This window comes from Homo sapiens, chromosome 7, assembly GCF_000001405.40.
Source record: "Homo sapiens chromosome 7, GRCh38.p14 Primary Assembly".
Taxonomy (NCBI): domain Eukaryota; kingdom Metazoa; phylum Chordata; class Mammalia; order Primates; family Hominidae; genus Homo; species Homo sapiens.
Genome location: NC_000007.14, coordinates 154764580 through 154778203, shown reverse-complemented (window position 1 = coordinate 154778203; position 13624 = coordinate 154764580). Strand labels below are relative to the sequence as shown.

Genomic DNA, 13624 nt, shown 5'->3' with positions numbered 1-13624 from the left:
ATCTGTTTCTATCCTGTAGCTTATCTGGCTCTCTATCACAATGCCATTGATGTAAAGTAAGCGCGCACATACCCAAGCAACAATACAGGCTTTACAAAAACACAGAGGAACAAAGGTCCTCTAAGCATTCGACATAAGTGCCTATGAGGTGGCGAGGGCATGGGAGTAGGGACTAAAGTTGAAAAAGAGCAAATCAATAAAATGAGAGAGGCCTGCATGGACCGACCATGCTTCTGTGCCAGGAGCTGCACAGCATCTAAATCCTTGGTGCTTGGGATCAAAACAAATAAATGGAAGCAAAAGAAAATGAAAGTGAGAGGCCTCTGAGCCTTTCGTGAGCCGTGGAAGCGGGTGGTGGAGGAGTGAGCCCCCACAGCTGCGCACAGGTGCATCAGGGACATGGTTGGTTTTGTGTCTTGGGTTCTGGGAGCCCTTTACCGCCTCTGCTTGCCAGGGAATCAGGAGAAGAGCAGCTGCGCTGCATCCAAACAGGATCTTTGGAGGCAAATAACAGCACATATCAGCACAGGGCAACATGTCTTCAGAATGATCGTGCTGGCTATCTGCCGCATCTTAACTCAACACGCAGCTCAACTGCTCGGGAAAGGCCGGAGGAAACCAGCAGAAAACAAGCGCATTTGTTTTATCAGTGCAGCTGGGTTTCTGTGTGAAAGCATAGAAACCACAGCACAGCGATTTGCATTTATTTTTTTCCACCCACAGGATAGACAGTGTTTATTCTTTCCTGGTCAGGTTCAGCTTAACAAGGCCTGGGTCCCTGCATTAGCCCAAGGAAGGCTGAGCTCTACTCTGGGCCCACCGCTCTTAGTTCTCTTTAATAGAACCGTTTCCCAAGAGGGCCTCCAATTTTGCCCCGGGATCCTTCTGACATCTGCAAAACCATCCTGAACACTTCCCACTCACCCCACAAGGGGCACCTCTGCTCCTAGGTGTGGCTCCTTCCACACTTCCATGCAGACTCTGGCTACAAGCTGTCCAGGCCTCTTGGAATGTGAGCTCTCATTAGGAGAGGCCACACGTCTTAATCACCCAAGGGCCTCACACAGCACATGCCACATGGATGATGAGTAAGTGCTTGCCAATGCAAAGATTTGAAAGAGCAGACTTAACTCTCCCTGCATCTGAGAACCATCGGAGAAGTCAATCTAGTTAACAAGCAAACAAACAGGAAAAAATAATTGAAAATGAGTGGCATAAAGGTTAGATAGCAGATACATGAACTGCTTTCTCCCTTCCTCTTGGTTCGTGAGCTAGCCTGCTGAAATAAACTGCAGGCTTCCAGAAACCTCTGCATGTCTCCCTTCCTAGGTGCTCAGGGGCATGGCTTAGGGTTCATTCCTTTTGTGTCCCTCCACAGACGAGGTGTCTTAGTTTCAGTTAGTTCCTTTAGCATCTTGTGCTTGAGAGGACAAGATGTCATCCATGGCTAAATAGCAAGTAAGTTTTGGTTCTTAGAAAGGTACCAGCACAACTGAAGATATCTCAAGCTTCAAGAATCCCATGCAAATAAGATTTTACCGGCTAAATTTGAAGTCAATACATCCATCCAGCCAAGGTTCCAGAGCCCTGCTGCAGAACTGGAGCCAGGGCCCGCCCCACAGGAACTAACGTCCCTGCCTCAACAACTTCCTGTTCTAGGTGGCAGGCGGGAAAATGAAAATGAAACAATTTAAAAAAGTATCTAAAAATTCCACTGGGATGAATTGAAGGAAGAAAATGGAAGCGGGGTGGGGCTGCCATGTGAAATGTGGTTATCAGGGAAGTCACTGTGGGAACCATATATTTGATCAGGACCTAAGTGGGGAGGAGCTCTCTGGGCAGAGGGGAGCCTCTGTGCAGATCCTCGTATGGGAGTGACCCAGCCGATGTGAGGGGGGATAGAAAGGGTGCATGGCCTATCTATCTATCTGTCTATCAATCATCTATCTATCTATCTATGTATCTGTTTATCTATCTATCTATCTATCTATCTATCTATCTATCATCTATCATGGGGGCTTCTGAGGCCACTGTAGGAAGTCTGGCCTTTACTTGGAGAGAAATAGAAGCCACTAGATGTCTGGGAGCAGCGGGTACGTGGCCTGATGTCATTTAAAGGGTTACTCTGGCTGCTGTGTGGGGTCAGCAGTGGGTGGGGCAGGAGGGGGCAGTGCTGGTGGGCCAGGCCAGGGAGGAGTGGGGAACGGCGGGGGGTTGCAGGCTGATGCCAGGCACCTGCCAAGGAGGGTCCCCAGCACAGAGGGACGTAAAGGAGGCCGGGGATCCTGGAAGGTGGAGTTGCCCTGGACCATGATGGGGAGACTGCAGGGAGCAGGTGTAGACAAGGAGAGTGGGAGGTTGGCTTTGACCGGGTTCGGCCTGAGATGCTGTGTAGACAGTGTCAGCAAATGGATCTGAAGGTGGTAAAGAGGCAGGTGGGATCACTGGGCCCTTCTCCAGGGACATGCTGGGCTTGATTTCCAATTGCAGGGGCGGTCTCAACCCTGCTGGGGTAGGCGTCTCTCCCGGATGGCTGAGTAACCCGGCAGACTCACCCTAGGATGTCCTTGTTCAATTGCCTCTATACAACTAGCTTCTCGATGGTTCTATGGCCTCTTTTTAAGAGCTCACTGGTTCCCTTATTAATTAATGAGTTTAATAAAGTCTTGGACACATGTTGATTGATTTTGTCTGAGAATCACAATTTGACCATTTAAAAATTATATGGTGACCACTCCCAGTAGAAATGCTGGTTGGGTGGTTGGCTTTTTGAACCTAGAGTCCTGACCCAGGCCAGGTTGAGGTACACAGGGGAGAGTTGTCCACATACAAGGGGTATGTATAGCCACAAGATGGAACGATTGGAGGAACCAGCCCTATGATCCTTGCCTTATCTCATCTAACTTTCACAACTGTCCACGAGAGTAAACATGTTTCTTATTAAAATTATCTCCATTTTACAGATGAGGAAACTGAAGCAGGGAGGCTGAGTAACTTGACAGAGTCCACAGAGCCAGAACTCGAACCCAGGCAGTTGGCTAGAGAACCTTCACTTGAAACCAGTAGTCCTCAATCTGGGGACACTGGGCAATGCTGGAGACATTTGTGATGGTCACAACTGGAGGGGGAAAAGGCAGATATGACAGCATCTAATGTGTAAGGCCAGGGATGCTGCCTAGTGCTCTACGGCACACAGGACTGCCCCCTACAGCACTGAATTGCTGAGCCCCAAATGTCAGTAGCATGGACATGCAGAAACTCTGACCTCAGCCGTGACACTGCCACCCTCCAGACCAGGTGGCCTCCTCTTCCACACGTTTCCACAGCCCTTCTCACACCTGCAGGGATTTACTTGCTAGTAATGACTTCTTCAGGATCCAGGTTCCCCTCCACACTGTGAACTCCATGGTTCATTTGCCACCAAATTCCCAGTGCTCAGGCAAATGGCTGGCAAATACTAAACATCTGCTCTACATTGAGCCTGGGATTTCTGATATATCTGTGTGGACTTTTAAAAACTCTCAAAGATGTGTGATAGAGAAGCAGTATGAGAAAGTGTGACATTTACATGCTACAAATTTACATTGCATATAAAATGCATTATTGCATTGAGCTTAGGAAATGAGAGCAACCAGAAAACCTGAAGCCCAGCATCCAGGCTTCAAGTCCTGGCTGACGCTAATTTTTCATTGTCCTTGAAGCTAATCAAGCCTGTGGAAACAGCATCACCAAATTGACTAAACGAGATTTTCAATTAACTCAAACAGATGGCTGAAATTTTCCAGGTGACTTTCCATATTAATTCAGTGAGTTTGCTGGACCAGGCCCCAGGAGGCTTGGCAGGGATGGGGGCTGAAAGGAAAACAATAAAATATATGGAACTTTAGGAGAAAAGCCAAAGCAATCATCTGAACTTTTTTTTTTAAATCTCAGCAAAAATATCACCAGCCAAATCAATTCAACTCTCCAAACCAGCGCACACCTTGGGCTGATACCCCAGTGACCAGTTGTCCCTGGGACCAGCTGCTGGGGGCCAGGTTCATTAAACCTCTAGAGCCACAGGCCCTCCTATGTTGGGGAGAAGACCCATGCAGGGCTGAGAGGGGCAGGCAGTGCCTCACGCTTCCTAGAGCACTGGGCTTCTGGGCTTCATCCATCCACTTGGGGATCTTACAACATTATAAGTTTCACTGAAGAAAGATGAGGGGAAGGAATCGCAGTAGAATTCTGCAGAGGCCTCGGGCTTCTGTGCAGGAGCTCAGGGTGTGGGGCAAAGGTGGCACTGGAGCCACTGCAGGAGACCAGCACATCATTCAGAGAGGTCCAGAGTCACCAGGTGCTGGAGCATCCATCCCCGAGCTAGACCTGAGGCCTCGATTCCTGCCCTTTCCAGAAGCTGCCAGAAGCTACTAGTAATATGGAGCTTTGAATGGAATAATAAAGGCCCAGGCTGGAGGTATAGCAAAATATGGGTTGGGTCTTTGCTGAGCCTCAGAATGAGTTATTCTTAGTTTAAATAGTGCCATTCATGAAATTTCAGAATCTATACTTGGGTGGGTCCTGGCACCCCTAAAATCCCCTCCTCTTTTTGAGTCTCTCATCAATATCCTTAACAGAGAGAAGGCTGATGATGTTATAGCTGGACTCTGGAAGTATAATCATTCCCCACGCTGCTTGAATTTGGGGAAAATACTAAACTGATATTCAGATCACTACATTCGATCCTAAATCAGTTGTTTTGATTTAGAAAAAAGCGACCACAATCAGATGCTAATAATAATAACTCAATAACATTGTTAATACCTTCCACAGGGTTGCGACCTTACCAACTGGGAGATGTGGCTTTATTAGAATAGAATTTGCCACTGGCAAATTGCTCCATGCTCTAAAAAATGCTCTAAATACAGAGCACCATTTATGGAAGGTCAGACTCCATGGATTGTCTTGGGAAGACCGCATCATTTCCTCTGGTGTCCCCCTGAGGCAGGCCTGGGGCCCAGCCATGCCCCTCCCAGAGGAGCCCAGCTCTCAGGAGGATAACCTGCATCTGACCTAAGGTAAAAAATAATAGTACTTGGTGAATGGTATTCTTTTCCTAGAAAATGGAATCATAAAGCAGTGAGGAAATCTTTAGGAAAGGTACCTTTTTCTTGGATGTTTAAACTTGTTGTAAGATAAATCTGATCCAGAAGAGACCATGCACATTGAACATTCATCTTAGTTTTTTTTTTTTTTTGGTAACATAATAGAAGGAAGCAAACCTCATCCGTGGATCATCAGGCGGCATCATCTCCAGATCATGGGTGGGTCCATTTAAGCCAATAACGTGTAGGGAAATGCTGGGGTTCTCACTTCCAGCCTGGGGATTAAAAAGGGGCAGAGACATGAACAAGCAGCCTTATACAAGAGTGAACTTCAGCTCTGCAAAGCCTTTCCTGGGAGATTCCGAGGTGGGACTCCAGGACACTGGAGCTCCATATTAAGGAGCAGAATTAATGTGGAGAACAAATGGTTCATGTGTAGGGTTTCAAAAGGACAAAGGGCTAAGTGGGCTGATTCTTGCTTTTCTAGAATCCCATCCGCTTCCCATTCCACCCAACTCCCCGGTTTGGCAATGTCAAGTGAGTACTGAGCCCCTTGCTTAAAAGAGAAGACGAGAAGAGGAGTGGGGGAGAAAAGATGGATTGGATGCCAGGAAGGGGAGAGTTGGAGGTGAGCAAATGATGGACATTGAGGAGCGGTGGCCATGCTCAGCATGGGGAGAGATTAAGTCCTTCAAAAAGGAACTGGGGCACTATTCTGCTTCCCTGTTCCCCACTCTCTGGGGGACAAGTATGGGTCTGGGGAGAGATGTGGGGCTTCCTCTTTAGGGGGACTTCGGGGTGTTGTCTGATGTTCTCACTTCCACCCTGCAGAAGATGTTCAGGTTTACAGAGGCTATCAGGCCCACGACAGGGCATGTCAGGCAGGCTTGCCTATTCATGCCTCTGATTTAGGAGTGGGTGGGAATGGGGCAAGGAGCATCTGAATTCTGTCAGCCAGAATGTTGGTTTTCTATTAAAATATGAAACCCCAAATCTTGAGTAATCTGGGATTTCATAATCCCAGCTTCAGAGCACCTTCTGAGAGTTCACTGTAAAATCAAGGGCACCCTACTGGATTCCAGGTTATCACTCCTAGACTGGGGAAACTCCCACAAAAAGATAACCATGGGAACCATTCATCTCTGGGTTGGATGAAGGTCAGACAGCCACCAGCTCTTCTGGCGGGTGGGGTGGCTGTGAACAGCTGGTAAGAAATGTAGAAGGGTTAGAAGGAACTAGCATCAGTCCCATACACTTTTCTCTATTTAATTATGCTTCCAACTAAAATGCTGGACCCTTCCACATGCTACAGACTAAGACCAATCAAGGTTAGCTGAAAAAGGAGTGAAATAATTCTGTCGAAGGCAAATCCATGCCATGTTAACATCCAGATGCTCTCAGAATTGGAAAAGGCAGAAAGGAAGGCTGTGGCCATAAGGGTCTCATTCTTCTTCCTTCTGGGGCTCTCTTAGATGTTGGCCATGCTGATCAAAGGCTGTTGAAAGGAGCCTGTATTACCAGGTGTATGGATGGAACAAGTTCCTCAATTCATACGGTGCAGCCCTAACCCCCAGTGTGATGCTATTTGGAAGTAAGACCTTTGGGAGGTGATTGAGGTTAGACAAGGTCATGAGGGTGGCACCCTTGTGATGAGATCCATGTCCACAAAAGGAGAGGAAGAGACACCAGAGCCCTCTCTTGCCCCTTCATGTGAAGACATGGCGAGAAGGCGGCTGTCTGCAAGCCAGGAAGAGAGCCCTCACCAGGAACCAAATCAGCCGGAACCCTAATCTTGGACTTCCAGCTGCCAAAACTGTGAGAAAGAAATTCCTGCTGTTTAAGCTGCCTAGGTCTGTGTTATTTCATTGTGGCAGCTGGAACTGACTAAGACACCAGGTGTTTCCTTTCTCTAGGCTGTGACTCTGGGAACCTCACTGGCCTCATATATCTGCCTTATAAGTTATCACTCCTCTTGCTGCAAACTGTAAGCCAGCTGGTCTGTGGGGATGATTATGGCAGAGCAGGCACATACCATCAGCTTTCAGAGCTCTCTGGTGGGCTAGGATGCTGAGGTTTAAATGCCCCCTGGCAGAGGCAGCTCATGGCAGGAAGTGAGCCTCCAGTCACCAGGCAGGGTGCAGGCAGGAAACTGCTCACCTCCACCAAGCCCAGGGGTCTTGGAGAAGCCTAGTGAAGCCAGAAGCCAGCATGGCAGACTCTATGTGTCCATGGGAGCTGTGTCCATACTCGGGCACTGGCTTCTCTCCAGCTGAGTGGCTGTGGAGGTTTTAGTATCAGGCCCTCCACTCACACTGGGATGCTTTGATTTGGTAATAAAGTGAGATTTGGATATCCCTGTTCCCCCCAATATTCCCTCCCAGCCACTGGACACTTGCTGTTCTACTGGCTCATTGGGTCAGAACATGACTGTCTTGGCCCCTCTAGGCTGCTGTAACAAAACACCATAAACTGACTGGCTCACAAACAATAGCAATGTATCTCTCACAGCTCTGGGGACTGGAAGTCCAAGATCAAGGTGCTGGCTGATTCAGTATCTGGCGAGGGCCCAATTTCTGGTTCACAGAGGACGCTTTCTTGCTGTATGGTCACATGGTGGAATCAGAGAGGGGTCTCTCTGGGGTCTCTTTTATAAGGTGATATGGTTTGACTGTGTCCCCACCCAAATCTCATCTTGAATTCCCAAGATGAGGGAGGGACCTGGTGGGAGGTAATTGAATCATGGGAGCAGGTCTTTCCCATGCTGTTCTCCTGATAGTGAATAAGTCTCACAAGATCTGATGGTTTTAAAAAGGTGAGTTTCCCGGCACAAACTCTCTCCTCTTGTCTGCCGCCATGTAAGACGTGCCTTTCACCTTCTGACATGATCGTGAGGCCTCCCCAGCCACGTGGAACTGTAAGTCCAATAAATCTTTCTTTTCTCAATTGCTGAGTCTTGGGTATGTCTTAATCAGCAGCATGAAAATAGACAAATACATAAGGGCACTAATCCCAATCATGAAGGCTCTGCCCTCCATGTCTTGTCACCTCCCAGTGATCTCCCTCCTAATACCATCACCTTGGGGGTTAGGATTTTAATGTATGAATTTGGCAAGGACACAAACATTTAGCCCGTAGCAGTGACCATGAACAAAACAGCCTTGCCCAGACCCAGGGGACCAGGGGCAGATGGAAGTCTTTCTGCCTTCCCAGAGGCCAAACTCAAAGTAGAAATAAGATGCGTGAGAGAGGGCAGGTGCACCTTCATCACTGGGGAGTGGTGAGGGGAGGTACCCTGTGTGTTTTGGTTCAGTGAAGCTGAGTCAGGTGATGAACATTAGTTCGGTTACCTAAAAGAAGTAAACCTGCCAATGACTCAGCTCAACAGAGGCGGGAATGTAATGCAATGTAATGAGACATGATTAGTCTTTCTTGTGTTAACTGCTTTGCTCATACACATGTCTGATGATCACGTCTGCACACTGAGTGAGCAGGGTTGGGGTGTTCATGAATAATATAAAGAATTTGCTGTGCGGTGTCCCTTTGCCTACCTTGGGATAGTGGTAGGGCTTCACGGTGGGGTAGATGGAGCCGGTGTAAGTTGGGAGCTCCATGATGGGGACACGGGAATCATTGATGGCGGCGTAGGCGAGTCTCGTGCCATCCGGAGACCACCAGTGTGCGATGTGTGTCTTCAAAATCTCCTCTAAGGGAAAACAGAGTAGAGAAATGTGAATAGTAACAAGTGAGTGGAAATTGGAGCTGCACCAGCAGGAACATGAGGTGGCCAGGAAAGAAACGAGTCCCTGCAGAGCCCCTTATCTGCTACAACCTTTGAGGAACCTTCACTGTGTTCTGCACATGCTTCCATTCCATGGGGGCTCAAGAAATGTCTGATGCTGATGACTAAGTCCAGCACAGGAAAACCCCATTAACCAAAGCTCAATCAAACAGATGCTAATCGTCTGGAAACACTTTTTTTTTCTTTGCACACATTTGAGCACTATGAGCCCAACACGTCCTTTTGAGTTGAACTATGATTGTACTATTGTTGATTATTACTTAATATGATTTGAAAAACAGCACTGGAGAAAGTAAATTCACATGGAAGCGTGTCCCATGCAGACGGAACCAAATGAGAAAGTGAACTCTGGCAGAGGCTGAGTCGCCCAAAAGCAGACCAGGGATTTACGCACACACAGAGCTCCCTCCTCAGATAATGAGTCCAAAGGCCCAGCATGCTCCTTGCAGCACACAAAGGGTGCAAGCTCACTCTGTGTGGCTTCTTACAAGAAGGGTACAAGCTCACTATGCATGGCAGAAAACCAAAATGGATCCATCTTCAGAAGGACTGAAATGAAAGACTGATTCTTTTGGGCTTCAACCAGAAACACCCATTATTCCTTCCTAGCCCATCAGTGTCCTGGTTAGTGTTTTAACGACAGATGAGTTTTGTAGGGTGTGATATCTATTCTAGAGGGGAAATTTCTACAGCGTTTTTTTCAACACGTTGGGAGAATACACTTCCCAAGGGTAACCAGTCAGAGAACCCATTTCATTGTGAACAGCTCTTAGGTCAAGGGGTTCTGTCTTGTACTGGGTCTATATATAGTGTAAACTAATTCCCTCTAGATTTGCTTCTAAAATAATGATTAATATAATTCATGAGTCCCATTCAACTCGCTATTATTAGGTGCGTACCATAAATCTGCTCTATGTACCTGTAGTGTAGAAAGGTGATTAAGAAGCCTGAAAACACATTGCAAAAACAAAACGAGGGCATCAAATGCAACAGAACAATGTAAATTGGAAGGAAGCCAAGGGCTGACTGCCCACAGGAGGGCACAGTCCCAGACAGGGAAGAAGCAGCCCACATCAACAGCCTCCCAGGTTCTGCGGGAGGCACCAGGAGGAGACCAGCTGGCCGGGAGGAGGGTTCATGAAGGGGGGCTTAGCGCCAGGTCAGTGTCATCCATGGTGGCATTTCACAGCCAAGCCCAGAGGCCTGCAGCAGGCACGCTGCCCATGATCCTCCTGGGGTGGGAGCAGGAGCCAGGCTCTAAGGGCAGTGGGGCTGAGGGTGTGATGTGCCTGCATGCCCTGCCCCTCCCTGCCCAGATGTCTGTGGCATCTGGCATGGCACTGATGGGGATGCTGCAGCTCATTGAGCCTCGCTCCCCTGTCACGTGAGTCTTCCTCATCTTGCCTTGGTCAGACTCCCCAGCAGACAGCCCCCCACCGAAGGCAATGCCGAGTCTGCTGCAGACTCCTGAACATCTCAGTAGAGTCTCCTGAAATACAAACCCTGTGGCGGGTTTGACCTCCTGTACTCTGGTGCATCCCGGAGTATGGAGAGCAGTGCTCAGGGAAAAATGAATTCAGGAGCCCTGGTGCACTGGACTTGAGCCCCAGTCCTGCTGTGTGTTCTTGAGTCCCGATCTGCAAAGCTAGGGGCACAACAGCCGCCTCTAGCATCCCCTTCCCCTCTGCGTCTGTCTCACAGCCTCAGAAGCTTTGGCAGTGCCAATAGAAGCTCAGAGGCCTGTGGAGGTCAGTGAGGAGAAGACAAAGGAAGGAAGCCAGACCTCCAGGGTCTGTAATTTTCCAGTCGCTTTGGCAGCCAGGAGGTGGACGTTCAGGTGCGAGTTTGGGATGAGGTGACTCAGAAGTGACTTTATGCAGAGTCACCAGATCTGCCCAGGCTGCTCGCTTGGAATGGTGAGTAATTGACTCCAGCAGATGGTCTGCTGGAAAAAATAGGCACCATTTGCAATGCAATTTGTGGGTGATTGTGCTCAATCACGTCTGCGCTGCAGGGCCACAAGAAAGGGGCCAATGGGGCTGGAGTAGAGTCCCTGGGAGTGAGCAGAATTCACAGGGCAGAGCGAGAAGGTGCAGAGCCCACAGAAATCAGCAGAGGAGCCCTGCAGTGGTTTCCACGGGACATTAATTCACAGCCGACTCGGGAAAATCCAAAACAGAAAAACGGCTGGCTGCAACAAGAGCTTTAAAAATGAAGCAGCTTTGGACAGAAACAAACAAACAACAATAACAACAAAACCCCCGAAGAGACAACTCATTTCTTTCTTTCCTTTGAACCCAAAGCAATCTTTTCTGAGACCAGAGGGATGATAAATCATCGGCCACGTGCAACATCAGGCCACTTTCATTCCTACCCCGTAGGTTCCACAAGAGGCCACTAGGCAAGGGGGGGCAAGGGTCACCCCTCATTTCCACCCAGGGTTGTTTGTATCTCATTTCTAGACTCGCTCTCTGACCTAAAGGAAATGCTGCTGCTTGGTTCTGACCAGCACAGTCCAAAGTGGGTCATGCTTGTTGGGACAAGAGACTGAAAAAAATGTGGGTGAAGGCTGGCCACAAGGCTGGGCTGAGAATACTCTATTTCCATCGATCTTATCAGCAAATGCCAGAGTGTTTCCATGAAGCTCAATTCACTCTTCAGAGAACTGGGAGGTAGAACAAAACCATCACTACAGGTTACCAAATGTAACGGTTAGAAGGAAACTTAGAGACACGCCTTTAATCTCAGCACTTTGGGAGGCTGAGGTGGGTGGATCACTTGAGGTCAGGAGTTCGAGACCATTCTGGTCAACACGGTGAAACCCTGTCTGTACTAAAAATACAAAAATTAGCTGGGCGCACACCTGTAATCCCAGCTACTCGGGAGGCTGAGGCAGGAGAATCATTACTTGAACCTGGGAGGTTGCGGTGAGCCGAGATCTTGCCACCGTACTCCAGCCTGGGTGACAGAGTGAGACTAGGTCTCAAAAAAATAAAATAAAATAAAAGAAGGGAACTTAGCGACCATTGGGTCATCGGGTTCAGGGATGACAGGTATCTGGTGTGTGTGATGGCAGAGGGTAGTTCCTCTGAATGTCATTCCACATCGAGACAGTGGCACATGCGAAGAACCTGTGCCACGCCAAAATGCCAGCCGTACAAAACTAGGGCAGCTTTAGTTTATTTTCCCTAGGTGTCCTTGAACACATCGCTCCTTGCCATTTTTATTTTCCTGTACGTTAGTTGCTCATTAATGTGATAATGAAGTATAAGAAACTAAGGGGTAAAAAAGTGCTGGGCAGAAGAAACCTTGACATTTTAGCATTAATTCCAAATGTCCCTATTCTGCAAACATTTTTCTGCAGGATTCCAGCTTAATGAGGCAGTTGGCTTAAATGCCATGCACCAAATGCAGTTTAGAAGCAGAGTTTTGCAGAAGAAAACCTATTTCATCAACGAAATTAATTGCATGGACGCCTGCCTTGGAACAAAATGAATCACTTGGCTTTCTGAGCAAGTATAATTAACTTGGGAAAACTAGAGAATACATCTTTTCTTCACCTTCCCTGTCCTGCTGGGGGGCTATTTTAGCATCAGAAAAGAAAGATACATCCGGGGACAGTCGGTGTTCAATGGCTGCTTCTCTCTTGAAGATGGCAAAAGTTGTATCCAGAGCTTCAGCCCCAGGTAGGATCTGGGCTGGGTATTTTTCATTTTTTGTCACTATACCTTGAAGAAGCCAGTGCCATTATCTGGAGTGTTATTCATTCCTGCCAAGCAGCATTAAGGTCATATCCAGTAGGAGAAAAATCCCTTTGTGCTCAAGGTAATAAAGGCCAATGCAACAATGAAGAGGAATCTTCACATTTTCCAGGTTGTTTGACAGATGAAGAGGTGACCACCACTATTATTTCCTATTTGCCTAGTGAGGTTTAGGTAGGTTTGCAGGGGACTCCATTGGACTGTTGTGCGCATGTGTGTGCTGCTTATACAGATGCTGAGGCTGCACTTCAGGCAGGAGAACTGGTATTTGGTGGGGGCAGTGAGGAGGATACAGGCTCCTTTTCTGCAAAACCTCTTCAGGTGAGTTTGGTGCACATTCTGGTTAACAATGACTAGCTAGAAGAGAGGAAATCCTGGCATTTGCAACATAGTAGATAAACCTGGAGGACTTGTGCTAAGTGAAATAAACCAGAAACAGAAAGACGAATGCCGAATGATCTCATTCATATGTGTGCTGTGGTTTGGAAGTGGTTTGTTTGTCCCCACTAAAGCTCATGTTGAAATCTAATTCCCAATGTGGAGGTGTTGGGAGGTGGGGACTAGTGGGAGGTGTCTGGGTTATGGGGGTGGATCTCTCATGAATGGTTTGGTGCTGCTTTCTTAGGAGTGAGTTCTCTCTCTGGAGAGAATGTGATGCACCTACAAGCTTATATTAAGTGCCCCTTTACAACTGAGGAATTGGAGGTTCAGGGAAATTAACCTTATTGAACAAAGACTGAGTACTCAGTACACACAATTCCCTAGGGTATAGTAAAGTAGAGACAAAGCTTGGAAGTTTGTAATACAGTAAACAGAAGGAGAACTGCAACTTGCAACTCGGGGAAAGTGGGCAAGGTAGAAACCAGAAAGAACTATGGGGTCTGGGAATACAGAGAGGCCTCTTTCTTATTGGAGGAAATTAGAGAAGCCTCTTGTGGAAGGTGGAATGGCAGAACCTGCTCATTGTCCTCCAACACCCA

General features: G+C 47.8%; 1 protein-coding gene across 13 annotated transcripts in view, besides 1 other annotated feature; it reads right to left on the bottom strand.

Annotated features, from left to right (window-relative positions):
- The window catches only part of DPP6 (dipeptidyl peptidase like 6), a 1146153-nt gene that overhangs the window by 116082 nt on the left and 1016447 nt on the right, over positions 1-13624 (bottom strand). For all 13 annotated transcript variants that reach the window (NR_157195.2, NR_157196.2, XM_047419951.1 and 10 more), the window contains 2 exons: positions 8633-8787; positions 5262-5359 (listed from right to left, as the gene is read on the bottom strand). Coding sequence is in view for 11 of the 13 variants with exons in the window: in XM_047419951.1 (XP_047275907.1) it covers positions 5262-5359; positions 8633-8787 (253 nt within the window). In the remaining 2 variants the exon portion in view is untranslated. The remainder of the gene's footprint in view (positions 1-5261; positions 5360-8632; positions 8788-13624) is intronic.
- Positions 10175-10715: an enhancer, noted in NCBI's record as "H3K4me1 hESC enhancer chr7:154559199-154559739 (GRCh37/hg19 assembly coordinates)". NCBI's record gives its function as "activates a minimal SCP1, AML or CMV promoter by ChIP-STARR-seq in primed H9 embryonic stem cells {active_cell/tissue: H9 hESC(primed)}" and the evidence as "EXISTENCE:reporter gene assay evidence [ECO:0000049][PMID:30033119]".